Source organism: Homo sapiens, chromosome 18 (genome assembly GCF_000001405.40).
Source record: "Homo sapiens chromosome 18, GRCh38.p14 Primary Assembly".
Lineage (NCBI taxonomy): Eukaryota > Metazoa > Chordata > Mammalia > Primates > Hominidae > Homo > Homo sapiens.
The window spans coordinates 42,736,312-42,762,877 of record NC_000018.10 but is presented as its reverse complement, the minus strand read 5'-3'; the positions used below and the strand labels follow the sequence as shown (position 1 = coordinate 42,762,877).

The following is a 26,566-nucleotide window of genomic DNA, read 5'->3' as shown; positions in this document are numbered from 1 at the left end:
CATCTGAATGATTTGAATTTAGTAAATATTTATGGAGGGTGTACTAGTTACATATATACTGCATTGGTTGATTTGAGATCAACAAAAATGTTGCTAATCCAATGTTCCTAAGAAGCTGCAAGCTAGGGAAAATGCATTTGGAGTAGGTCATTGAAGGAAGCTATTTCCTAGAAAGCAGAAATTCTAATATGACAAATAAATTTAAGTGCAGTTGTTCAACTAAAAAATAATTTTTAAAAATTGAGAGTGAATTCAGGTCACTTTGATAGTCACATATTATGAGAGGGGGACAAACTAAGACTTGAAATTCTACTCTTATCCAATCAGAGGGAGTATCAAGCATAGTTTAAAAAACCTTTAATATCTGGTGTGGTCAAGCAGTTATGCATCCTTTTTGTTAGAATGTAATGATCTTGCAACCGAAATTTCATTGTTGTTGTTGGTATTTATTTGTTCTGTGGATACTTATTTTTGGTTTCTATAAGAACAAAGAAAGATAGAACCATATACTCATTTTTCTTCTCTCTGTGTCATTGTTGTTTAAGATTCTGCAGGTTGAAGTCTGTCTTCTGAAAATAAGACAAAACAATCTTTTGAATACAGTTCAGTGATAAAACAATGAATAGAAGACATGATCTATATTTTCCATATTAGAAGAGTTATTGTACAGAAGGAAATGGAGGGGAGGGTTATTCTGGATCTGTTTATAAAGGCCAGGCATAAGGCTAAAAGATATAAAATTCACAGAGAATTATTTTCCTCTTAATATTACTAACTTCCTCCCAGTGAGACCTATACAAATGGCCTGGAATTCTCTCACATGTAAATAAACTTATTTCTGGCAGTATCTCTAATGACAATAATTCCATGATTTCTTGGCTTACATCTCTACCAGGCAGCCTCTAATCCCTGCCTCCTCCATCTCAATGCATGGTTTGCACTTAAACAAATTACAGTTGGTCAAAGGAACTGGTACTTTTGCTGAATTAGGTGTCACTGAGAAAAATTAATTGCTGATCTCAAGAGCAAATTCATAGCTGGGCAAGAAGGTGCATTCCTGTAATCCCAGCTTCTGGAGAGGCTGAGGCATGAAAATCACTTGAACCTGGGAGGCAAAGGTTGTACTGAGCCAAGATCGTGCCACTGCACTCCAGCCTGGGCAACAGAGCTAGACTCTGTCTCAAAAATAATAATAATTTTTTAAAAATAAGAGCAAGTTCAGGTTGCTTTGATACTCACATATTATGAGAGGGGGATGAACTCAGAATTGAAATTCTTAAAGAGTTGTGTTAATTGGAAGAAGAGAAGGACTTTATAAACAATTAGTTTGTTAATAGTTAATATTTGGAAATAGGGGTCAGGTTTTCAAGTCAATTTGATTATTTTTCTACTTGTAAGAGACATAGAGATAAAAGGAACACTGCTCTAATGTCCATGAAAGTTACCTTTGGTAAAGAATAAGAAAAATGTTACTTGTAATAATAGACAAGTGATAAGCAAATGCTTAGGGATTTCTTTATTTAAAAAAGAAAAATTATACCTAGTCTCAGAGATCAACAAACACTTCTTGAAGTGGAGACTGGGAGTTACTTTAGAAAACCTGTAAGGATAAGCAGGATATTGACTAGTGAAGTTACAAAAAAAGACAAGTCCAAGGAGAAAAGCTAAAGGGATAAAACAGGATAATGAAGGAAAACAAGGAATTTACAGGAATATGCAGAAGAAACATATGGGAAAACAACAAGGAAACTGAAACAATATCTACGTCTCTCAACAGATTGAAGAGAAAAGTGACTCTAGCCTGCATTGATTAAACATAACTGTGATTGCTTTTGCAAATGAAGACTTGTGATTTTAGCAAAATGCTTTTAGGTCTGATTCAATAAAATATGCCCAAAGGAAGAATCCACCACTCTGAGGACAGATATGGCAATAAAGTCAACTATATTAGAATATCTAATCATAGGAGTCCCCAACCTTACCCTCTCATGGTGGTCATTAAAACAAGAATCAAACTTCTCACTCATATTAGGATGCATGATGCATGCAGGGAGACCAGCCATGCGTTAAATGAATAAACAAGCAAAAGGTCCCTATATCACTGCATTTAGTGCATAAGAAGCAAATGGCCTTCTGTTTATTATATCAATCATGTCTCTTTTTAACCCATTTTAAGATGAGGACATTGAGTATTAGAGCATATATGTAATTCAATTAAGGTCATTCAACTAGTAAGTGGCAGAACTGGGACTAGAACCCAGGCCGTTTGATTTCAGCAACCATCCTCTTAAACAGGATGCTTTTTTCCAGTGTATCTCAGTGAGATCTACTGTTTTGACTAACACAGACTATGTTCTCAGCTGCTTCTGTGGAGGATAAAGCACAGATAATGTCAGTGAGCTGACAAGCCATTGCAGTGATAGTGTTGTTTGCCAGGTGCTCTGACATGACCAGAATCTGGAAGAGAAAACAGGTGTCACTGACTTAGAAATGCAGTCTCAGGCTGCTGCTTCTTAACAAACTTGTCAAGATTACCTTCCTTACTCCAGCATGCTGTGTGTCCAGCCATTGAGGCAGGTCATCTTGTTCACCTGAAGAATGATCAAGCAACTAGGCTTGGGAAGCAACAAATGAAAGGAGTCTCTAAGGCCACAGAGGGGTTTCTTGCAACAGTTAAAAGCTGTCATCTGTGCAGTCACTTGCATCTACATATAATATCCCCACAATCCAAGGGGATGGAGACTTGGAGACATATATTCTATTATCAAAGACACTTAGAGAATGTAAATTTTAAAAATATAGGCCAGGTGCGGTGGCTTATGCCTATAATCCCAGCACTTTGGGAGGCCAAGGCCGGTGGATCACTTGAGGTCGGGAGTTCAAGACCAGCCTGACCAACATGGAGAAACCCCATCTCTACTAAAAATACAAAATTTGCTATGCGTGGTGGCACATGCCTGTAATCTCAGCTACTCAGGAAGCTGAGGCGGGAGAATCATTGGAACCCAGGAGGCGGAGGTTGCGGTGAGCCGAAATCATGCCATTGCACTCCAGCCTGGGCAACTAAGAGCAAAACTCGGGCTTGAAAAAAAAATTTATATATATATATATATATATCCGTATGTGTGTGTGTGTGTGTGTGTGTGTGTGTGTGTGTGTGTGTGTAGATTTAACACAGTGAGAGCCCCAGCTCTAGCTGTCTAAGGTCTTCAGCTGCTTTCCGACTACACTGGAAAAAATGGCAGCAGCCTCTAATCCCTGTCTCCCCTATCTCAATGCAAGCCTGATTGCCCCAGGAAGTCTCTTTCCTAAACCTTTTCTTTCGTTTTACTGTATATTAAAATGCTCTTGTCTTGTGCACCATCTCTTTAACCCATTATTTTTGTGTTCTAGACAAAGAGACAGGGTAATAAAAAGTCCTGGGTTTTAATGCCAATTCCAATATTGAAGAACTATATTATCTTGGAAATTTAAGTATTCCCAAACTGTTTTCATTTTTTCAGTTCATATAAGATGGAATTTGGAGTACCTGATGACCAGGAACAATTCTAGCTCAGAAATTCAAATTTTCTTCATGTAAGAAACATTGACAGAAATGGTCATTTTATGGAGGAATGTGCAGTAAGTGCGTGCCTACAGAAACTAGACAGTCATTAACAGAGATGTGGAAGAGACATAATGATTTAATGTCCTGAAAGATGACCCTTAAGCTTATTGCAATCCTGAATTCTTTTGCTTTTAGGATTGTATCACTCAGGGTTCCCCAGAGAAACAGAACCAATAGGATATACAGAGATATAGTGAAAGAGATTTATTATGAAGGACTGAGTCATGCTACTACGAAGGCTGACAAGTCCCACATCTGCAATCTGCAAGCTGGAGGCTCAGGAAAGCCATTTGTATAGCTCCAGTCCAAGCCTGAGGGCTTGGGAACTGTAGGAGTTGATGATTTAAGTCCTGGTCAGAATCAAGGACAGAATCAATGGGCACATAATTGTGAAAAGCCTGAGTAAAGAGTCAAACATCAGAATATTCAGACAGAATATTCAGAAAGGGTAATCAGGCCAGGTATGGTGGCTCATGCCTGTAATCCCAGCACTTTGGGCAGGCAGATCACTTGTGGTCAGGAGATTGAGACCAGCCTAGCCAACATGGTGAAACCCTGTCTCTACTAAAAATACAAAAAAAAAAAAAAAATTAGCCGGGTGCAGTGGCACATGCTTGTAATCCCAGCCACTTGAGAGGCTGAGGCAGGAGAATTGCCTGAACCCGGGAGGCAGAGGTAGCAGTGAGCCAAGATTGCACCATTTTACTCCAGCCTGGGTGATGAGAGAAAAACTCCTTCTCAAAATAAAAATAAAAATAAAACAAGGGTTATCAAAAAAAAAAAGGATTAGAATGTCAAGAAAGGAGGAAAGCATCAATTCAAAGGAGAGGAATTGAAGTAAGGGACTAGGCAAGTTGTCAAATATTGCAGTTGGTAAAAATTGCTGGAAACATCTATTGGATTTGACAGTAAGAATGGTACTTTTGCAAAACCATGTTAGAAGAATGAGGTGAAATGGAATACAGATTGTGAATATTAATGTGCAAATTAGAAGTGATTAAGACAAACTAGCACATAAACCTATAATGTATTTTATTTTGAAATTGTACGTCTTTTTTTTTCTAATCCTTTCCTTCCCCAGCCCTATCTTCTCTCTGTTTAACCTTATAAAAAGGGCAGATATAAGAGCGTAAATGAACTGGGCACTAAAAATAGTTGAGACTTGAATATTTTTCTGAAACCAAAGGGGCTGTTATAGAAGAAGACTAAAAATATAGGAAAAAGGTGGGACAACTAATACTGCAGGATTGAAATAGATTAAAAAAAAAAAAGGTTATTCAGCCCAGATAGAGGTATCAAACTTGACAAGAATCAGTAACCTCTCTTTGCCTGAGAGGAGAAAGAGTAAGATAAGATGTCTAATAATACAGATGAGTTTCTAGGTGCTAGTCCAGGATGTTGAAATCATTCTTTTGGGATGCTTTTATTTCCTCACTGAGGTGAAATAGGAGGGTGAGAGCATCTGCTTAAAATAAGGATGGGGTCAGAGATCTGAGACAAGAAATGAAGGATTTGAAGAACTAAACGAGAAATAGGACAGGGAACTGGCTGATAATAAGCAGAACAATTGACAAGAGCAGTGATGACTCTGCTAAGATTGAAATATAAATGTATAGTGGTACCAATAAGCACAGGCACGTACATTTTCAAAAAATGCCTGTCTCCGTGTGTGTAAGGCCAGAAAACGTAGAATATTGGTTCAGTTTTGTTTTCTGTAGATACTAGGGTTAGAACTTTTGTAAAATTTATTTTGTTCTAGTTCATCCTTCTTTTCATGGCAAGCCTTACCCAAATATAATCCAAAAAGATATATAGGTTGATTGTGAGCTTGAAGGAGCCCAAGATACCTCTGGGGAACCTTGAGCTTTCCTATAGGCTTCATCAAAGTCATCTGCTACTCTGGTCCCTAGATTCCATTCAAGAAGGCATGATGACCCGGTCTTCTTATTTTTCTGTCCAGAGATTCTGCAGGGCCATGTTCTAACCTGACAACATATGTAATCAAGCATTTTGACACTTTGCATGAATTGCACAGATATGTTAATGAAAATAAGTTAAAACCTTAAGTAATTCAAATGAGATTTCAGCTTCTAATTCTCTAGTTAATTCATGGAGGGTTTCTTCTGTAGTAATTGGTTGGTTACTCTTTGGTCAACTTCCTATCCATTTATTCAGTCTCCATTCAGTGAAGAGATAGGAAAGGTGTTTATTGAACATGGTTCACTTGCAAAGCATTGAGGTGTTGCTGACAATATAATGTCCTTTGTCTTCTTGATCTTATATTCTGCAGGAGATCCAGACATTGTAGAGTTATATAATTTATTATTTAATTATAATTGTTTTATGTGTTACAAGTATAATACATAAGTTTTTTTTCTATTTTTACCTAATATAAATTTGTTAACAGAATAGATTAAATAATAAAATTTTTTGGTCTTCAAAGAGTACATTTTTAGGCCATGTTAAAATGGAAAATTTAGCTATTCACAATAACCAATCCCCTGAAGGTTCAGAAGGACCATTGATTTAATATACATCAAACACACATATTTATTTATTAGTGCAAATATGTGAAGATATCCTTAGGCATGCACATACATGTATGTATATTTACACGTTCAAGGTCCTGCATTTATATATATTGCACGTACTGCCCAATTTTATTGATTTATATTTTTAACAAAGTATTTTAAAAAGCAAAATCTTTAGGAGAAAAATTCAAAAAGAAGGCAGATATTGCTGTTAGCAAAATATTTAGCATTAACCTTCTCTTTTTTCCCTTCATAGCAACTACTGGCTGCCATGGCAACCTTTCCCCCCTGCACACCAGAGCTTCTGGGATGAAAAGCACAAGGCCTTTGAGACTTCAAATGTCTCCTGTACAAAGCAGTCTAAAACCCTTTACCCTAGAGCCATTACCATCCCGTGTCTCAGAACGACTGGCTACACCATTTAATTTATTATGTCCTACTTTTCTCTCCATTCAATCAATATCTCTCCAGAACAGCAAGAGAGAGAAATCCTATTACATTTCCAGAGTAGGCGCTCAAGAAATAGGCTTTTTAAAAATTACTTATTTGATGGGTTCCTAACAAATTTCATACAGATCTGAATAAATTAGACATCTAAACTCACTAATTGCCTCTGATTGTGCTCTTATTCACTTCTTCTCCCTTGTGCTCTGGTCTAAACCATATTAACTACTGATGATCCCACAAAAGCACCATGATCACTTCTGCCTTAGGCCTTTCTTAGTCCCTTTACCGAGACTCCTTCCTATTCCCCCAGCATCCCACCTCCCCTCACCAACCTAAATAATTACTACTTGCCATTCAGGTCTAAGATTAAGGCTCCCTGTCTCAGGAAGCTGAGAACCACTAAGACAGGGCTGGGCATTACTTGTAAATGCCACCACAGTGCTGTACCCTGTGCTAGCCACTGTCTTTGATCTGAGATTTCCTTTTAATTTGTCTATTTGTCTAAATCGACAACCAACTCCTCTGTTTATTGTAGCCTCAGCTGTATTCTCATGGCCTGGGTTCCAGTGATGTCATCCACAAATAATGAGCCCTCTTAAGTGCCAGTCACTTTGCTGGAGATCAGGTAGAGAGATGAACAAAACAGACACATTTTCAGCAATAACTAAGCTTACTTTATACTGATGGGTGATGAAAAATACATATAGGCAAATTAGTGAGATGAATTCAGATAGTAATTAAGTGCCCTTCCTATCAACAAAATAAGAGTAATGGGATGGCATTAGTGGGGATGTGTGAGAATGCTTTTGAGAGGACAGTCAGGCAAGGTGTCTCAGTGGAGGTGATATTTCAGCTGGGACTTGAAGAAAACAGCCAGGAGGAGACCTGTAGGGGAGCACATTTCAGGCAGAGGAAACAACAACTGCAAATACTTGAAGGCAAGAAGATTTTGTACTGAGCATGTATCGAATATGATAGGATATAATCGATGAGGGAGAGTGGTATGAATCGGGCTTGGGGAAACAGACAGAGATAACATCATGTAGAATTTGTAGGTCATGGTAAGAAGTAGAAAAAATTATAAACAGGACTAAAATGTGATCTGAAAGAAGTTAAAATTTCTTCTGTCTTTTTTTCAGACAGTGAACAGACAAACCAAAAACATATTTATTGGGAGTACACAGTATACTAGGAACTCTATAAGTGCCTTTCATGTGATAGCTCATTGAATCCTATTACCAATTCTATGAAGGAGAATTTTATGAGGAAATTAAACCACAGTCTAAGCAACTCCCTGAGAATTCATGGCTAAAAAGTGGTGTAGCCAGGATTTAGATCCTAGTAATGTGATTCCAGAACCTACCCACTGTAGCACAATTGTAGGCATTTGCCGAAGCCCACAATATAGCAAAAATACAGTTGAGGGCAATATTCTGGCCTCTGAAATTTCAGTTTTATGAACTCATTATAATGGACTCTGTGGTCTCCAGTGACTGTTTATTTGGTGTCATTTTCATCATCATCCAAATTAAATATTTAATGAGCACCTGCCACTGCAAAGTGTGTGGCTTGCTTATTGTGTGGCACAATGAGGATTAAGATAAGACAAAATATGATTTCTGTCCAGCTGCCTTGCATTTGGTTGGTGAGATCAAACAACTAAGGCCTATGAACTTCCCTCAAGGATGATAAGCTGCACAGCAAAGCAGAGGCCACCAAGGTCACCATAGACTGACTGCACTGTCTGTAAAGACTTGAGTAGGTCTGGAAGAAGTGAGAGAGAAGAAAGATGAAAGACTTTCCAGATAGGGGAAAAAAAGCAATACGCAAAGGCATAAAAATATGTATTGAGGAATGATGGGCTCTACTGTGTAAAATGTACTCCACGTTCTAAAGAGACCTACACACAAGCACACAACCAAACTGCCTCTGTTGACTCCTACTCTTGCCTTTCCCCACTCCACACCCCTTACCAGTCTAAGAACCCAGGTGGAAATCTGAGTTTTTGATACCAAGACCAGGAGTTCTTTTCCTTCTGCCTACCACAAAGAAGGGAAGGAGGACTCTTGCCCTTCTCCTTTACAATACAAGAGAAGGAGGCCCCAACATAATCCCTCCTAAAAGAGGGACGTGCTAAGAAGTTACTGACATCTCCTCACCAGTTGAGTTTTTTGCTTAGTTTGCAGACTTGTTCACTCATCTAAAAAAGATAATTGGGGAAAAATAGCAGAGCAGATAGAGCACTCTTGGAAGGAACACCCTATAAGCACACTCTGATCTGTCAAGAATGGTTTTCCATGTGTCAGTGACTGCGGCTAAGGGTGGGACATCTTGCCAGTGCTTTGCTTTGTTTTGCTGTTCCCGGAAGGAGTTTGAAATGACATGTAGCACTTACCTTTAAATGGAAGATGATTTTCTTTTTTTAAAGTAACTCTCGTATTAAATAAGTGAATAAATCAAATTTAATAAATCAAAAGCACTTTCACTAGAACTGGTCAAGAAAACTGGCAAGGTCATTAATATTATTAAAACTGATCAAAATCAATTATACAACTAAACAAAATGAAAATAGAAAAAAGTTCGGGCCACTTTTCCTTCAAGTTAGCAAATAAGATGTGTTGTTCACAAATTTCTCAGGAAATTTTGATTCCTGCTACTTTGATGATGTAGACTGCATAATGAAAATTAATAGCTCCATGGGAAATAATGCAGTGAAACACTTACAAGAAGATATTAAAAATATAAAATAAATCCAAAGAGTTTGCTGTATGCACTAAGCATTTTAACAGCACCCAGTAGGCATAACCACTAAGATTTTTGCTTGCAAAGCTTCTGTTGGAAGAGCCAGACCCATCTTTCTGCCAGTCTCCCTCACTCCCTCACTCAAGGTTAGCAATTATAGCAAAGCAGTGTCAGAGTTTCCTTTTGTGTTGCTAGGAATTATATAGCTTATTAGGCAACCACCATTACCCTGGCTACCTTTACAATAATTTAATTTAATTTAATTTATTGTATTTTATTTTTACCAAGCTCGGGTAAAAGATAAAAATATGCAGAGAGCTAGAAAGCTCCTGAAGTCAGCAGATTGTTGGGACTGAAAGTCTAATTGGCCAGGATGCTTGCCGCTTCCCACTAGCAGCTGGGCTGGACTAGAACAGGCTCTGCCTGCCTTTTTGCCCCAGTGGTCTCATCAACCCCCCATGCAGCTGTGGCTGTGTTCTAATGCCTCCTCTGGCAGATGGGAAATAGCATTTCAGGGAGTACCTGGCATATTACACGGTGATCTTCTTCGGTGAAAAAGGTCATATATATTAAAAAGATGGCACCCCTGGGTTATTGAAATTTTCTATTACTTGTATGAAACATTTTTCTTTATTCCTTCTTTTCTGCCATTGCTTTCTAAGGCCTCCAGGTGTCACATTAAATCAAAAACGTTCCTTCTTTGCAGTTGAGGGGCACTGTGGTATAATGATATCTGCATCAATTGCTTCTTACCCCTAAAATAATCTCCCTGCAACATTTCTTCCCCACCCCCACCCCTGGTGTGTTTCTGCATTTATTTAAAATTTAACTTTTCATGTAAATGCAATATAAAATATTGTGTGCCATTTGTTTACTATTTAAGAATTATTTTAAGTTGTAAAACCTCACATCAGAACAATCAACTAAATATGTACAGAATCCTAGCACAGGAGACTGGAAAGGTTTCCCCATGAGAGACAGCAAGAAAGAAGGGAAGCGGTGCTTAATGGAAGATAGTAGAACTTGATGGATATTTTACTTAATTAGATGTGTGACCTTGAGCCATTTCTTAACCACTGCTTAACCTTTCTGAGCCTGAAAGTCCTCATTTGAAAAATAAGAAAATTTAATTCCTTTCTACCATTGTGCTTCTTTCTTAGGAGTTACTATATAAAGTAGATGAATATTGATGAATATTCAATATTTAATTTTACTTAAAATTTAATTTTACTTAAAATTCAGATAGACAAGATATCTTATGCTAAAAGAATATGTTAATTACCTTAGTTCTCAATTCTAATATGGAAGCTGTTACTTCTTGTAATACATTCTAGTTCCAAACCAGTCAGACCACCACTAGTGGACTGCTGTGGTCCTAAAAATTACTCCCTCTGATGCTGTTGCAATATGACCTTCAAATGGACCATAATAGTAAGCATAAAACCCAGAAATCTATAAAAATTAATATTTTGGGGCTTTTTTTTTGACATGTTTGGACTCAAATTCTTGCATTAAACTTATGGCATGTAAATTTCAAGCTCAAAGGTAGGTATGACAAATGTATGGTTTGTCAATATTCGTATGAGGTGAAATTTCCTGAAAACATGAAAATGTATTTTCTTGAAACATAAAACTTTATTGTTAAAGTATGCTTTCACTTTTGGTATTTTTCTTAAAACATAAAAACTTTAGGTCACTGATCTGATGATAATTTTTAAGGAAATATAGAAAAGATTAAATATTTTACTAAGTATAATTTCCATTTAGATATTATAGCAAATGTGAAAATTAATGTTATTATTCCATTAGATAGCACAGAATTAATATTTTGATAATAAATCTAAGATCATGTGAAACTACATTTTATGCTTTGAATTAGATGGTCGATGATTCCTACATTACTTATCAAAGTAATGAGTAGGCACAATTTAAGTATACTTCGGCCTGCTACAAAAAATAAAATATTCACTTATATCATTTATTAAAGGTGCTGTTTTGCTGTATATCATTCGAACAAGAATATTTGCATGGGATTTGTTTACTAATTTTATTTCTGGTCGAGCTTGATTATCACATTGGACTTTTAACTGAATTTTGATGTCCCTAATGATTGATTTGTGATGCTTATATTTTAACCATTAGGAAATATTTTATAAATATGTATGTGTTTGTATAAAATATGCATATATATATCTATATATGTACTATAGATATACAACTAAACATATTTTTTCAAACACTTAAAGAATTTATGGATTTAGCTAAAGACTTAACTTCAATCCTTCTCTACTTCTACTCTTCTTAAAGAAAAATTACCTTTCTATGTTGGTGGAAATAACTCCTATACATCTTGGTCAAAAATAATCCAAAATGATAACTCAATGTCAGGGCACCACTGACAGCACCTTCATTTCTCCACTGATTTGGAAATGATATCCCAATAATATAAAAAGCTTCCATAGATATGTTGATCTTTTTCCAGGTTCTCTATTGCATTGTAGTAAGATTATTTGTCTAAGCCTTAACTAATGTCCCACTGCCTGAACAATTATAGGTTTACAGATGGCCTTAATCAAGTGAGACCAACATTATTGTTACTATTCTTCTTCCTACCTCCTTCTTATTAGAATTCAAATATTTCTTCTCTATTTGTGCCTTTATTCTTCTCTATGAATTTTAGTATCCCTGTATGACATCCTATGATTCAAAAGTTTTCAGGGTTTGAATATATTTTCATTGAAATTATACGCTAATTTGAAATGATTTATTATCTTTATGATATCGAACCTTCGAACCAAAAACTAATACAAGTCTACAATTTGTCATCTGATTGGTTAGATTTAGATAAATATCCAAACTAATATGATAAGTAAAAGTTTTTCTTAATGTATTTGTTAGCATAACCTAACCAGACTCAACTCACTTTTTGTGACAAAGCATGATTTGATGTGATCTGAGTTGATTTAGAGATCTTACATATCCTATTTGCTGTGAATGTTGCAATATTTAGCTACGGAAATATTACTATACTGGAGGACAAAATTATGCCCCAAATTCAAAGGGAGTGCTGCATGTTTCACAATGCATTTATTTAATTGAGTGTTTAATTGCAGTTTCATATAAAGCAGACAAATTATAAGTATAGAGCTTCATGAATTACAACAACATGAACTCACCAAAAATCACCATATTGGTTAATAATGGAAGATTATTAAAGGTGCCCAGAAAACTTTCTTGCATCTCCTTCCAAAGAAACACTATACTGACTCCTAACACTAAACAATAGTTTTTCTGTTTTTAAACTCTCGAAAAATGTAATTGTGTAATGTGTTAATGTAAAAATAGAGAGAACTGGATGTGGGGTAAATGGGAATTATATGTTGCCATATTCTGTAAATAGAAAACTATACTAAAATTAAAAATTTACTAACAATGTTCCTTAGGTCTGATTTCTTTCACTCAGCATTGTTATGTTTGTAAGATTTATCTAAGTTGTATATAATAGTATGTCATTTATTTACATTGAACAGCATCACATTGTATTAATATATAGCAAATTAGTTATCAAGTCTCCTGGTAATAAGGTTTGTGTTGCTTTCAGTGTTTTTGTTTGCTCGTTTTTGCTATTGTGAATAATGTTACTGTAAACAATTTGCATGTCTTTGTTGCATACATCTACACATATTCATCAAAGAAGGCTTCTGGTCATAGAGACTTAATTATGGGAAAGGTTTTAATCACGAATTTAATTTTTTGTCTAATGTTTAGGACAATATAGAATTTCTATTTTTGTGTGTAAGCTTTTGAAAATTATATTTTGGTAGAAATTATTCCTTCACCTAATATTTCTGATATATTGGGACAAACATCATGTTCACATGTTATCTTTTTTATGTTTGTAGTATCTGAACTGATATACACTATTTCATTCTTAATATTGTTTATTTATGACTTATTTTTCTTCATCACCCTTAATCTGTCTTTCCTGGGCTTTATAAATTTTGACATCTTTATAAAAAGAATTCATGTTTGATTTCGTCTTCTCCATTGCATAATTGTTTTCTATTTTACTTACTTATCTGTTTATCATTTCCTTGTTTTTGCTTTCTTTAAATTAATTTGCTGAGCTTTCTGGTTACTTTTTGTGGTTAATATTTTGATCATTAAATTTGAGTGTTTATGCTTTTTAAAAACATGCTTGTAATGCTATAAGCATCATTATGAATAAAGCTAGAGATAGTCCTATAAGTTTTGATACAGTGCATTTTTATTAGCATTTCGTTTCAAATATTTTGAAAATGTTTTTATAATTTCTTCTTTGACCTATTGACTATTTAAATACATACTTTTTCTCAACTATTTGAGAATTTAGTAGAGTTTTTTAAATTTCTAGATCAATTTCATTTATTTTGGACTATGTTGTAATTTTTATTCTTTGCAATGTTTTGAGATTCACTTTAGGATAAAGTCAATTTTTATAAATGTTCCAAGTTAACTTGAAGAGAATCTGACTTTTTCATTTGTTAGCTATGACATGTTGTATATGTCAATTGGATCAATTGAGTTTGTTTTGTTCAAGTCCCCTATATCCTTACTGAATATTTGCCTATTAATTTTTTCTTTATTTCTTTACTTATTTTTATTTCAATAGGTTTTGAGGGAACAGTAGGTGTTTGGTTGCATGAAAAAGTTTTCTTGTGTTGATTTCTGAGATTTTGGTGCATTCATCACCCGAGTAGTGTACACTGGACCCAATGTGTAGCCTTTTATCCACCTACCTCCCTTTCCCCTGAGTCCCCAAAATCCATTGTATCTTTCTTATGCCTTTACATTATCATATCTTAGCTCCCACTTGTTTTCTGCGCTGGTTTCATGTTTTTGCATTTGTGAATTGTGCTGCTATAAATATGCATGTGCAAGTATCTTTTTCGTATAATGACTTATTTTCCTCTGGATAGATACCCAGTAGTGACATTGCTGGATCAACTGGTAGTTCTACTTTTAGTTCTTTACAGAATCTCCACACTGTTTTACATAGTGTTTGTACTAGTTTAAGTTCCCACCAGCAGTGTAAAAGTGTACCCTTTTAACCACATCCATGCTAACATCTATTATTGTTTGTTTTTTTTTGATAATGACCATTCGTGCAGGAGTAAGGTGGTATTGCATGTGGTTTTGATTTGTATTTCCCTGATCATTACTGATGTTGAGTATTTTTTCATATTTTTGTTGGTCATTTGTGTATCTTCTTTTGAGAATTGTCTATTCAGGTCCTTAGCCCACTTTTTGATGGGATTGTTTGTTTTTTTCTTGCGGATTTCTTTCAGTCTCTTGTAGATTGTGGATATTAGTCTTTTGTCAAATGTATAGACTCTGGAGATTTTCTTCCACTTTGCGGGTTTTCTTCCACTCTATGGGATTGCAAAGATTTTCTCCCACTCTGTGGGTTGTTCATTTACTCTGCTGATTGTTTATTTTGATGTGCAGAAACTTTTTAGTTTAATTAAGTCCCAAGTATTTATCTTTGTTTTTGTTGCATTTGCTTTTGGGTTCTTGCTTATGAAGTCTTTGCCTAAGCCAATGTCTAGAAGGATTTTTCCAGTGTTATCTTCTATAATTTTTATGTTTTCAGATCTTAGATTTAAGTCCTTTATCCATCTTGAGTTTGATTTTTGTATAAGGTGAGACATGAGGATGCAGTTTCATTCTTCTACGTGTGGCTTGCCAATTATCCTAACACCATTTGTTGAGTAGGGTGTCCTTTCCCCACTTTATGTTTTTGTTTGCTTTGTCAAAGATCTCTTGGCTGTTAGTATTTGGCTTTATTTCTGGGTTCTCTATTCTATTCCATTTATCTATATGCCTATATACCAGTACCATGCTGTTTTGGTGACTACAGCCTTATAGTATAGTTTCAATGTAACGTGATGCCTCCAGATTTCTTCTTTATGCTTAGTCTTTCTTTGGCTATGTGCTCTCCTTTTTGCTTCCATATGAATTTTAGGATTGTTTTTTCTAGTTCTGTGAAGAATGACGGTGGTGTTTTGATGGAAATTGCATTTATAGATTGCTTTTGGCAGCATGGTCATTTTCACAGTATTGATTCTACCCATCCACGAGCATGGGATGTGTTTTCATTTGTTTGTGTCGTCTATGATTTCTTTGAACAGTGTTCTGTAGTTTTCCTTGTAGAGGTCTTTCACTTCCTTGGTTTGGTATATTCTTAAGTATTTTATTTATTTATTTAGCAGCTATTGTAAAACAGGTTATCTTATTGATTTGATTATCAGCTTGGTCGCTGTTGGTATATAGCAGAGCTACTGATTCGTGTATATAAACTTTGTATCCTGTAATTTGCTGAATTCATTTATCTAGGAGCTTTTTGGAAGAGTCTTTAGGGTTTTCTAGGTATACAATTATATCATCAGGAAACTGCATCAGTTTTACTTCCTCTTCACCAGTTTGAATGTCCTTTATTTCTTTCTCTTGTCTGATTGTTCTGCCTAGGACTTCCAGTACTATGTTGAATAGGAGGGATAAGAGTGGCATCCTTGTCATGTTCATGTTCTCAGGGGAAATGCTTTCAACTTTTCCCCATTCAGTGCTACATCGGCTGTGAGTTTGTAATAGATAGCTTTTATTACAGTAAGGCAGGTCCCTTCTATGCCAATTTTTCTGAGGGTTTTAATCACAAAGGGATGCTGGATTTTGTCAAATGCTTTTTCTGCATCTATTGAGATTATCATGTTATTTTTGTTTTAAATTCTGTTTTTGTTATGTCCTTTCCTGGATTTGGTATTAGGGTTATACTGGCTTCAAATAATGATTTAGACAGGATTTCCTCTTTCTGTCTCTTGTGTACTAGTGTCAATAGGATTGTTACCAGTTCTTTCAATTGCTGAGAGAGACACATTAAAATATCTCACTAAACTTTTGGATTTTATTTTGTCAACTTTTAAAATTTAAACTGAGACTGTATTTTTAGTACATAAGAATTAATTAGTATAATGTCTTCCTTTATTATTATAAAATATTCCCCTTTTACTCAAATAATGCTCTATTTTTACTTACTGTCTACTTTGATATTTAAACTATAGCAGCTTTCTTCATGTGTAAATTTCCATTCAAATTTCACTTTCTATATCTTTACATGTAAGGTACTGCAACTGCAGGTGATTTTTGTAAAATCTGGTTGAACAGTCTTTGTCTTTTAAAGTTGGAGACTGTAATGCATTTATATTGACTGTGGTCAGTTGAATTATTCTTTTAAAATTCTGTGTTTTCTCTCCACTCTTGCCATGCTTCAATGTGAGTTGAGCATATGTCCTGCCTCATTGACTTTAGGTTTCTCCATGTGTCATTTGGGATATAGATAAAATAATTCCTGCCTCCTGTGCATCTGCTCTATATTATGGGAATATCATTTCCCAGATAAGAAGGGCTCTCTTAGCCTGAGTCCCAAAATAAGAGGATAAGAGGAATACACCAGAACCCACCTGACAGCCTGGAGCAGAGCTGCCAAAAATCTACTCCTTAGCTGCTAAAAAGCAGTCTAGCAACAAAACAAAGCAAAACAAAACAAAAAATATTTGCAAGCCACAAGGGCCTTTAGGCTGTATTAATATAAGTGTAACCTAATGAAAGCCAATAAATATAGAAAATAGTTCCAGAACTGTTGTATTGCTATACAAAATGTAAAATATGAGTCATTAGCTTCTGGGTGGGGAAAATTCTTACAGGTGACTGAAAAATAAATGGTAACCCACGTTATACAGTGTCATACCATTTGGTAAGATTACCACTTGTGATAACTTGAAAATCAGGGAAGTTACTTAATAAACATAACTTTGCTCAATTGCTGGCAAGTCAGAATGTTATTAGCTTTAGTTGATTGTTTTCGCTGCATTTCTTAAGTTATTTTAAGGTAGAAATGAGCTAAAAAAAATTGGCATGTTTACCAGTAGGAATGAAAAAAATAAAATAAGAGAGATAATCCAGACATGTTTTATCTCATAGGGTTAAAATGTGACAAGTTACTCATCTCTGTTTAACAGCTACTAGTGGGATCAGTGAGATCTAGTCAGACTAGAGTGAAGAACCTGTCTTTGCTGTCTTTGGGATCAGATAGACTTGATAGATTTTTTACACCCCAGCTCAGCCACTTATTAACCATATGATGTGTTGTAACAGTTTAAAAAGTTGGTTTCTGCCCTGATTACAAACAATTGCAAAATGTCAACAGCTTAAAATAATGAAGGTTTTTTTTCTTAGTTATGCCAGGTATCCAACATGAGTGAGCTGGGAGGTCTATTTATTATTCAGAGTCCTGGTAACTCAGGATTCTGGGGACTGATAATCTGGTAGGGCTTTATGGGATCACTAAATTTTGAGTAGGAATGTTAGTACCAGCTATAGGAACATAGAATCCACTGTGCTAATTTATGTATATAATTTATCTTTATATTTTAGTTAATACTTATTCAACCCTGGGTAATTTTGTTGATCATTCTTTAAACTCTTCTAATACTTCTAATGGTGATGTAGGCACCAGGAGCTGTAGTAGAAACTAAAGGAATGATAAGTGAGACAGACACGGTCCCTGGCCTCAGTCAGTTTATGATTTCTAGAGATCCATTACAACAGCATGAACCACAGCATGGGTAACTGCCACCAAAGACTTATGGAGTGTCAAACCTGCTCTGGAATACTTGGCTAGAGGGAGACTTATTTACCCATAATGGTGGTGTTTGCTTTTCATTTTCTTTTGATAGATTATTATTTTTTAATTTTATGACAACTCCATCTCTTCAACTTATTCTTCAGTGAAAGCTCTGGACTATAATAACAACTAACATTTATAGAGCTTTAAACATGTGCCCAGCATGTGCCTCTTCTAGATGATCTCACTTAACCCTAACAAAGAGGTTTTGAGGTAGGTATTAATATCTTATGTTGAGGAAATTGGGGAAAAAAAAAAGTCAAAAAAATTAACCAAGTTTGCAAAGCTAAAATGCAGTTGAACTGGTATTTGAAACAAAGGAGATTTAATATAAAGCTATTCTTTGACCACTTTGCTATATTGCTTTTTTGAATTCTGGAGAGCTGATTTCTAGTTCAATTTTTTAATCAGTCATACTTTCAAGGATTCTAATTTCTCATTTGTCCTTCAAATTCTAAAATTCTAGGATTCTCTCTTAAAACAAATTCTCACATTGCTATATATTTTTAAATGTGACTGAGGTCCACAGTTTCATGTGCGTCCATGTGAAGAGACCACCAAACAGGCTTTGTGTGAGCAATAAAGCTTTTAATCACCTGGGTGCAGGCGGGCTGAGTCCAAAAAGAGAGTCAGCAAAGGGAGATGGGGTGGGGCCATTTTATAAGATTTGGGTAGGTAAAGGAAAATTACAGTCAAAGGGGGTTTGTTCTCTGGCAGACAGGAGTGGGGGTCACAAGGTGCTCAGTGGGGGAGCTTTTTGAGCCAGGATGAGCCAGGAAAAGTACTTTCACAGGGTAATGTCATCACTTAAGGCAAGGACCGACCATTTTCACTTCTTTTCTGGTGGAATTTCATCAGTTAAGGCAAGGACCTGCCATTTACACTTCTTTTGTGGTGGAATGTAATCAGTTAAGGCGGGGCAGGGCATTTTCACTTCTTTTGTGATTCTTCAGTTACTTCAGGCCATCTGGGCGTATACCTGCAAGTCACAGGGGATACGATGGCTTGGCTTGGGCTCAGAGGCCTGACACACAGCTCTAGTAGAGAACGTATTTTTAATTGAAGAGTCTTTCTCTTTCTGTCTTTTTAATATTATTTGTTTTTTCCTTAGGTTTCTACAGAAGAAGGCTTGAGTCTTGCCCAAGAATATAATTGTGGTTTTTTTGAGACCTCTGCAGCCCTCAGATTCTGTATTGATGATGCTTTTCATGGCTTAGTGAGGGAAATTCGCAAGAAGGAGTCCATGCCATCCTTGATGGAAAAGAAACTGAAGAGAAAAGACAGCCTGTGGAAGAAGCTCAAAGGTTCTTTGAAGAAGAAGAGAGAAAATATGACATGATATCTTTGCTTTTGAGTTCCTCACGCTCTCTGAATTTTATTAGTTGGACAATTCCATATGTAGCATTCTGCTTCAATATTATCTCTCTATGTGTCTCTCTCTCTTTAAATATCTGCCTGTAGGTAAAAGCAAGCTCTGCATATCTGTACCTCTTGAGATAGTTTTGTTTTGCCTTTAACAGTTGGATGGATTTTGTCAATCAGCTGGATATGCTGTTTAGTTTTTACAACATAGTACTAAATAAAATTGACATTCCAATTGCCTCATTTCCCTTTAAAGAGTCTAGCTTCATTTGGTATGCTGTCTGGTTATAAAGGAAATATGCAAAATTGCAGCCAGAATGATAAAAGGCTCAGGGGATCTGCCTTTGCCTGATAACACTGGTTGTTTGCATTTCAGGAATCTCAGTAAATAATGAAGAAGCTCAGGAAATATTTCAGAGCAGAAATCTGCAGCCTGGTCTTTTCTTAATTGTAGAAAGTCATGGTGCTTCTTCTTGAATGCTCCAGAGATAAACCTTACAGGAATTATTAATAATAGGAACTGGTTTGGGGTCATTGGAGAGCTGAAATAAAATATCTGTGTATTTACAGTGCTCTGCCCCAGTTAAGCTGTAGCAAAATTATCACAGTGAAGGCACTGAGCTGTGGCAAAAGGATATTGTCTCTGTAGTGGGAAGAGAGAAGCTACTATGAATTTGGTGGTTCATATGCTCATTAAAGGATGCTTTGCTCCCCTCATTGAGGAGTCCTTCTTAGGGCTGCTTCACCTGCATCAGGACCATTTGTAGGGTATGAGGCTTGATGGCTCCAGAGACACTATGAGCTCCCTATATTGCCAAAATCTCCTCTCTTCCCTTACATGAAATGCTACCAGAGACTTTTCTCTTGTTGGTTTTACAATGGCTCATCATGTAAAATGAAATTGCCCATTCACTAATTTTTTCCCATTGGTGTGAATTGGTTTATTAAATTCAAGCTCAGAAAATACACTACCAGAGAGCACAGTTCTGAATGTTTAATAGGCAAGCATGAAGAAGAAAACCATAAAGCTAAGCATGAGATGGAATCCATCAAGCCCATCTTCATGGGTTAAGGACAGTTTTTAATCATTAATTAGGGAAGAAGAGGGATGAGGGGCATAGTTTTCATGCGCGTCCATGTGAAGAGACCACCAAACAGGCTTTGTGTGAGCAATAAAGCTGTTTATTTCACCTGGGTGCAGGCAGGCTGAGTCCGAAAAGAGTCAGCGAAGGGAGATAGGGGTGGGGCCGTTTTATAGGATTTGGGTAGGTAAAGGAAAAAGGGGGGTTGTTCTCTGGCGGGCAGGAGTGGGCGTCACAAGGTGCTCAATGGGGGAGCTTTTTGAGCCAGGATGAGCCAGGAGAAGGAATTTCACAAGACAATGTCATCAGTTAAGGCAGGAACAGGCCATTTTCACTTCTTTTGTGGTGGAATGTCATCAGTTAAGGCAGGAACTGGCCATCTGGATGTGTACGTACAGGTCACAGGGGATATGATGGCTTAGCTTGGGTTCAGAGGCCTGACATTCCTGTCTTCTTATATTAATAAGAAAAATAAAATGAAATCGTGGTAAAGTGTTGGGACAGAGAAAATTTTTGGGGGTGGTATGGAGAGATAATGGGCGATGTTTCTCAGGGCTGCTTTGAGCAGGATTAGGGGCGGCGTGGGAACCTAAAGAGGGAGCGATTAAGCTGAAGGAAGATTTTGTGGTAAGGGGTGATATTGTGGGGTTGTTAGAAGAAACATTTGTCATTTAGAATTATTGGTGATGGCCTGGATGCAGTTTTGTATGATTTGAAAAACTAAACAGAATAAGAGGAGAAAAACAGCTATTAAAGGACTAAGAATTGGGAGGACCTAGGACATCTAATTAGAGAGTGCCTAAGGAGGTTCAGCATAGCCTTGCCAGCAAGGATTATTTATTTACTTTAAGAGTTAAAAGTGGCGGTTTGGGGATAGCAGCAGGAGGTATCAGCTGTGATGGCTTGGAGAAACAGTGTAAACTGGCAGTGTAAATAAGAGCAGAGCATGTATGAGTAGTTGAGAATGGTGAATAGGAGTATGACTAGACAGAAGATAGTAGGGATGACAAGTTTTTTGGGGCACAGTCCAAGTTGGTCTGGTGTCTGGCATGAGACTGGGGCCTAATAAAAAGGAGCGTCTATACAGGAGCTCAAATGGGCTGTACCCTGTAGCATTCTGAGGACAGGTCTGACTTCTGAGAAGGGAAAGTGGTAAAAGTATTGTCCAGTCCTTTTTGAGTTGGTGGCTGAGCTTGGTGAGGTGTGTTTTTTAAAGACCTTTAGTCCGTTCTACTTTTCCTGAAGATGGAGGACTGTAAGGGATATAAAGGTTGCACTGAATACCAAAAGCCTGAAAAACTGCATGGCTGATTTGACTAATAAAGGCTGGTCTGTTATCAGACTGTATAGAGGTGGGAAGGCTAAACTGAGGAATTGTGTCTGACAGAAGGGAAGAAATGACTGCGGTGGTCTTCTCAGACCCTGTAGGAAAGGCCTGTACCTATCCAGTGAAAGTGTCTACCTAGACTAAGAGGTATTTTAGTTATCTGACTCGAGGCATGTTGAGTAAAGCTAATTTGCCAGTCCTGGGTGGGGGGCAAATTCTCGAGCTTGATGTGTAGGGAAGGCAGGGGGCCTGAATAATCCCTGAGGAGTAGTACAATAGCAGATGGAACACTGAGAAGTTATTTCCTTGAGGACAGATTTCCACGATGGAAAGAAAATGAGAGGTTCTAAGAGGTGGGCTAGTGGCTTTTACTATAGCATAGCCTGCCTTTGCTGGTGTGTGGCGATTAGGCCTGGTGGAACTGCCATCAACAAATCAAGCGTGATCAGGGTGAGAAACAGGAAAGAAGGAAATATGGGGAAATTGGGTGAATGTCAGGTGGATCAGAGAGATACAGTTATGGGGGTCAGGTGTGGTATCAGAAATAATATGGGAGGCTGGATTGAAGTCCGGGCCAAGAACAATGGTAATTGTGGGACTTAACAAAGAGTGAGTACAGCTGAAGGAGCTGGGGAGCAGAAAGTATATGCGTCAAGTATGAGGAAGAAAATAGATTTTGGAAGTTGTGAGAAATGTAGAGAGTGAGTTGAGCATAGTTTGTGATTTTTAGGGACTCTAAAAGTATTAAAGCAGCGGCAGCCGCTGCACGCAGACATGAGGGCTAGGCTAAAACAGTAAGGTCAAGTTGTTTGGACAGAAAGGCTACAGGGTGTGGTCCTGGCTCTTGTGTAAGAATTCTGACCACACTAATCATGCCTAGGAAGGAAAGGAGTTGTTGTTTTGTAAGGGATTGAGGTTTGGGAGATTAATCAGATATGATCAGCAGGGAGAGCACGTGTGTTTTTATGAGAATTATGCCGAGATAGGTAACAGATGAGGATAAAATTTGGGCTTGACTAAAGTAATGGGGGCTATCTGTGAAGCCTTGCAGCAGTACACCTCAGGTAATTTGCTGAGCCTAATGGGTGTCAGGGTCAGTCTAAGTGAAAGCGAAGAGAGGCTGGGATGAAGGGTGCAAAGGAATAGTAAAGAAGCATGTTTGAGATCCAGAACAGAATAATGGGTTGTAGAGGGAGGTACTGAGGTTAGGAGAGTATATGGGTTTGGCACCATGGGGTGGATAGGCAAAACAATTTGGTTGATAAGGCGCAGATTCTGAACTAACCTGTAGGCCTTGGCTGGTTTTAGGACAGGTGAAATGGGGGAATTGTAAGGGGAGTTTATAGGCTTTAAAAGGCAATGCTGTAGCAGGTGAGTGATAACAGGCTTTAATCTTTTTAAAGCATGCTGTGGGATGGGATATTGGCATTGAGGGGGGTAAGGGTGATTAGGTTTTAATGAGATTGTAAGGGGTGCATGATCGGTCGCCAAGGAGAGAGTAGAGGTATCTTATACTTGTGGGTTAAGGTGGCAGGATACGAGAGGAGGATGCAAAGGAGGCTTTGAGCTGGGGAAAAGGGCAGCAATGAGGTGTGGCTGTAGTCCAGGAACAGTCAGGGAAGCAGATAATTTAGTTAAAATGTCTTGGCCTAATCAGGGAATTGGGCAGGTGGGGATAACTAAAAAGGAGTGCTTAAAAAAGTATTGTCTAAGATGGCACCAGAGTTGGGGATTTTTAAGAGGTTTAGAAGCCTGGCCGTCAATACCCACAACAGTTATGGAAGCAAGGGAAACAGGCCTTTAAAAATAAGGTAATGTGGGGTGGGTACCCTCGTATTGATTAAGAAGGGGATGGACTTACTTTCCACTGTGAGAGTTACCCAGAGCATCTGTAATGGTTTTGGAGGCTTCCGAGGCAATCAGGCAGTGTCAGTCTTCAGCTGCTAAGCCGAGACGATCTGGGAAGGAGTCAGTCAGAGAGCCTTGGGCCAGAGTTCCACGGGCTCTGGGAGTGGCTGCCAGGTGAGTTGAACAGTCTGATTTTCGGTGGGGTCCCGCCCAGATGGGACGCAGCTTAGGAGGAATCCCGGGCTGTGGGCATTCCTTGGCCCAGTGGCCAGATTTCGGGCACTTGTAGCAAGCTCCAGGGGGAGGAGGTTCTGGAGGAACCCCTGGCAGCTGCAGTTCGAGCATTTGGAGTTTTGCGTGCTGGAGATGTAGCTGGGGTTTGTCTCACAGTGGAGGCAAGGAATTGCAACTCAGAAATATGTCGCTACTTGGCTGCCTCTACTCTATTATTGTACACCTTGAAGGTGAGGTTAATTAAGTCCTGTTGTGGGGTTTGAGGGCTGGAATTTAATTTTTGGAGTTTTATTTAATGTCAGGAGTGGATTGGGTAATAAAATGTATATTGAGAATAAGACGGCCTTTTGACATTTCAGGGTCTAGGGCTGTAAAGCGTCTCAGGGTTGCTGCCGAACGAGCCATGAACTGGGCTGGGTTTTTCATATTTGATGAAAGAGCCTAAATGCTAACTGATTTGGGAGAGGTTGGATAAAGAAAAAGGAGCATTAATCTTGACTATGCCTTTAGCTTCAGCCACTTTTTTAAGAGAAAATTGCTGGGCAGGTTGGGGAGGGCTAGTCGCGGAATGAAACTATAAGCCTGACCGGGTGTAGGGGGGAGGTGGTAAAAAGATTATAGGGTGGAAGGGTGGAGGCTGAGGAAGAACTGGGACCTAGCTCGGCCTGGTGAGGAGCAGCCTGGGGAGGAGGGGAGAGGTCAGATGGGTCTGTAGAAAAGGAAGATTAGAAAGACTCAGTGACGCTTGGGGTTGGGACTGAGGGGACAGGCGGGAGGGAAAGAAGATTTGGGACGAGTGGCATTGGGCACAGAGACTAGGGAGGAACTGATGTGTAAAAGAATGCCTGGACATCAGGCACCTCAGACGGTTTGCCCATTTTACAAGAATTATTTAGATCTTGCAGGATGGAAAAATTGAAAGTGCCATTTTCTGGCTATTTGGAACCACTGTCAAGTTTGTATTAGGGCCAAGCGGCATTGCAGAAGAAAATATGGCATTTAGGTTTTAGGTCAGGTGTGAGTTGAAGAGGTTTTAAGTTCTTGAGAGCACAGGCTAAGGGAGAAGAAGGAGGAATGGAGGGTGGAAGATTGCCCATAGTGAAGGAGGCAAATTTAAAGAGAAGGGTCTGATACCTCTGAAACTTGGGTGAAAATCAGAGAGGCGTCCCTGCAATGATTAAACACCAAGGGAAGGCTGTCTTCCCAGTCTGTGACCAGCGCTGGAGTTTTGGGTCCACTAATAAAACGTGTCTCCTTCGTCTCTACCAGAAAATGAAAGGAATTGAAATTAAGAGAAGGGAGAGTTTGAAGTGTGGCGCCAAGATTGAAAGGAGAAAGAGGTTGAGGGATAGTGAGGGAGGTTGGAGAAGAGAATAAAAAGAGGCTGCTTACCGGATTTGAAATTGGTGAGATGTTTCTTGGGCTGGTAGGTCTGAGGACCTGAGGTCATAAGTGTACCTTTCTTACGGAGCAAAGAGCTGGAGGACAGGAGATTGATCTCTCAAGGGAGGTCCCCCGATCTGAGTCAGGGCACCAAATTTCACTCGCGTCTGTGTGAAGAGACCACCAAAGAGGCTTTGTGTGAGCAATAAAGCTGTTTATTTCACCTGGTTGCAGGCAGGCTGAGTCTGAAAAGAGAGTCAGCAAAGGGAGATAGGGGTGGGGCCGTTTTATAGGATTTGGGTAGGTAAAGGAAAAAGGGGGGTTGTTCTCTGGCAGGCAGGAGTGGGGGTCACAAGGTGCTCAATGGGGGAGCTTTTTGAGCCAGGATGAGCCAGGAAAAGGAATTTCACAAGACAGTGTCATCAGTTAAGGCAGGAACAGGCCATTTTCACTTCTTTTGTGGTGGAATGTCATCAGTTAAGGCCATCTGGATGTGTACGTGCAGGTCACAGGGGATATGACAGCTTCGCTTGGGCTCAGAGGCCTGACAATAGTTATCATTCGATATTCAATCATTTATTCTTATTTATTCACAATGCCTCTGGTACTTGCTAAACTCTGAGAATTCAGAAATGAATCACTCAGACATGGGCCCTGTAGCTTAACATTTACCTATGAGTTTGACTCCACTGAAAGAACAATGGGATTACAAATTCTCAGACAAGAAAAAGACATTTTACATAGTGTTAAAGATACAGCTAAAAGAGAATTTAGGGATTATCATTTTTTAGATGCTGAACTGGAAATTAGCCTTTCAGGATATTGTACTTGTGGGACCTTTTATTGCTTGAGGCCAAAGCTGTTTCTCAAACCCTCTTAGACTTCACTTTTGTTCTCTTAGACCCTGGGATGAAGGACCTTGTCATGTACTTATCTTTTGCTAGTAACTACTGCCACTTTATCCCTAGGGTTTTACTCAAGCCACATCTTCTATGGAGTGAGGCACAAACTAACCAGTTTTCTCCCATCTTATATTGCCACTAAAACCAGATCCACTGCACCTTTTAATTGTAAAGGATTCATAATTAGGAGGAAAGCCCCCCCGCCCCCAAAAAAAAGAACAAACATGGAAACAACATGAAGACATGAAGATAGCAAGAGTCTTTCTTATAGTCTTAGAACTGGTCATTGTTTTCTCCTTTCTTTGCCTTGGAATGTTTAATGCTTTGCTTTTGTCCCATTAAACTGGCACACTCACCTCCAGTACATTCTTTGCCTTTTGCA

General features: G+C 38.0%; 1 protein-coding gene across 2 annotated transcripts in view, besides 2 other annotated features; it reads left to right on the top strand.

Moving 5' to 3' along the window:
* Positions 1-19,651, top strand: part of RIT2 (Ras like without CAAX 2) — a 372,459-nt gene extending 352,808 nt beyond the window's left edge. For both annotated transcript variants that reach the window (NM_002930.4, NM_001272077.2), the window contains one exon: positions 19,158-19,651. In NM_002930.4, the coding sequence (NP_002921.1) occupies positions 19,158-19,385 (228 nt within the window). In that variant the 3' untranslated portion in view covers positions 19,386-19,651. The remainder of the gene's footprint in view (positions 1-19,157) is intronic.
* Positions 18,508-19,174: an enhancer, noted in NCBI's record as "OCT4-NANOG-H3K27ac-H3K4me1 hESC enhancer chr18:40323669-40324335 (GRCh37/hg19 assembly coordinates)". NCBI's record gives its function as "activates a minimal SCP1, AML or CMV promoter by ChIP-STARR-seq in naive and primed H9 embryonic stem cells {active_cell/tissue: H9 hESC(naive and primed)}" and the evidence as "EXISTENCE:reporter gene assay evidence [ECO:0000049][PMID:30033119]".
* Positions 20,509-21,174: an enhancer, noted in NCBI's record as "OCT4-NANOG-H3K27ac hESC enhancer chr18:40321669-40322334 (GRCh37/hg19 assembly coordinates)". NCBI's record gives its function as "activates a minimal SCP1, AML or CMV promoter by ChIP-STARR-seq in primed H9 embryonic stem cells {active_cell/tissue: H9 hESC(primed)}" and the evidence as "EXISTENCE:reporter gene assay evidence [ECO:0000049][PMID:30033119]".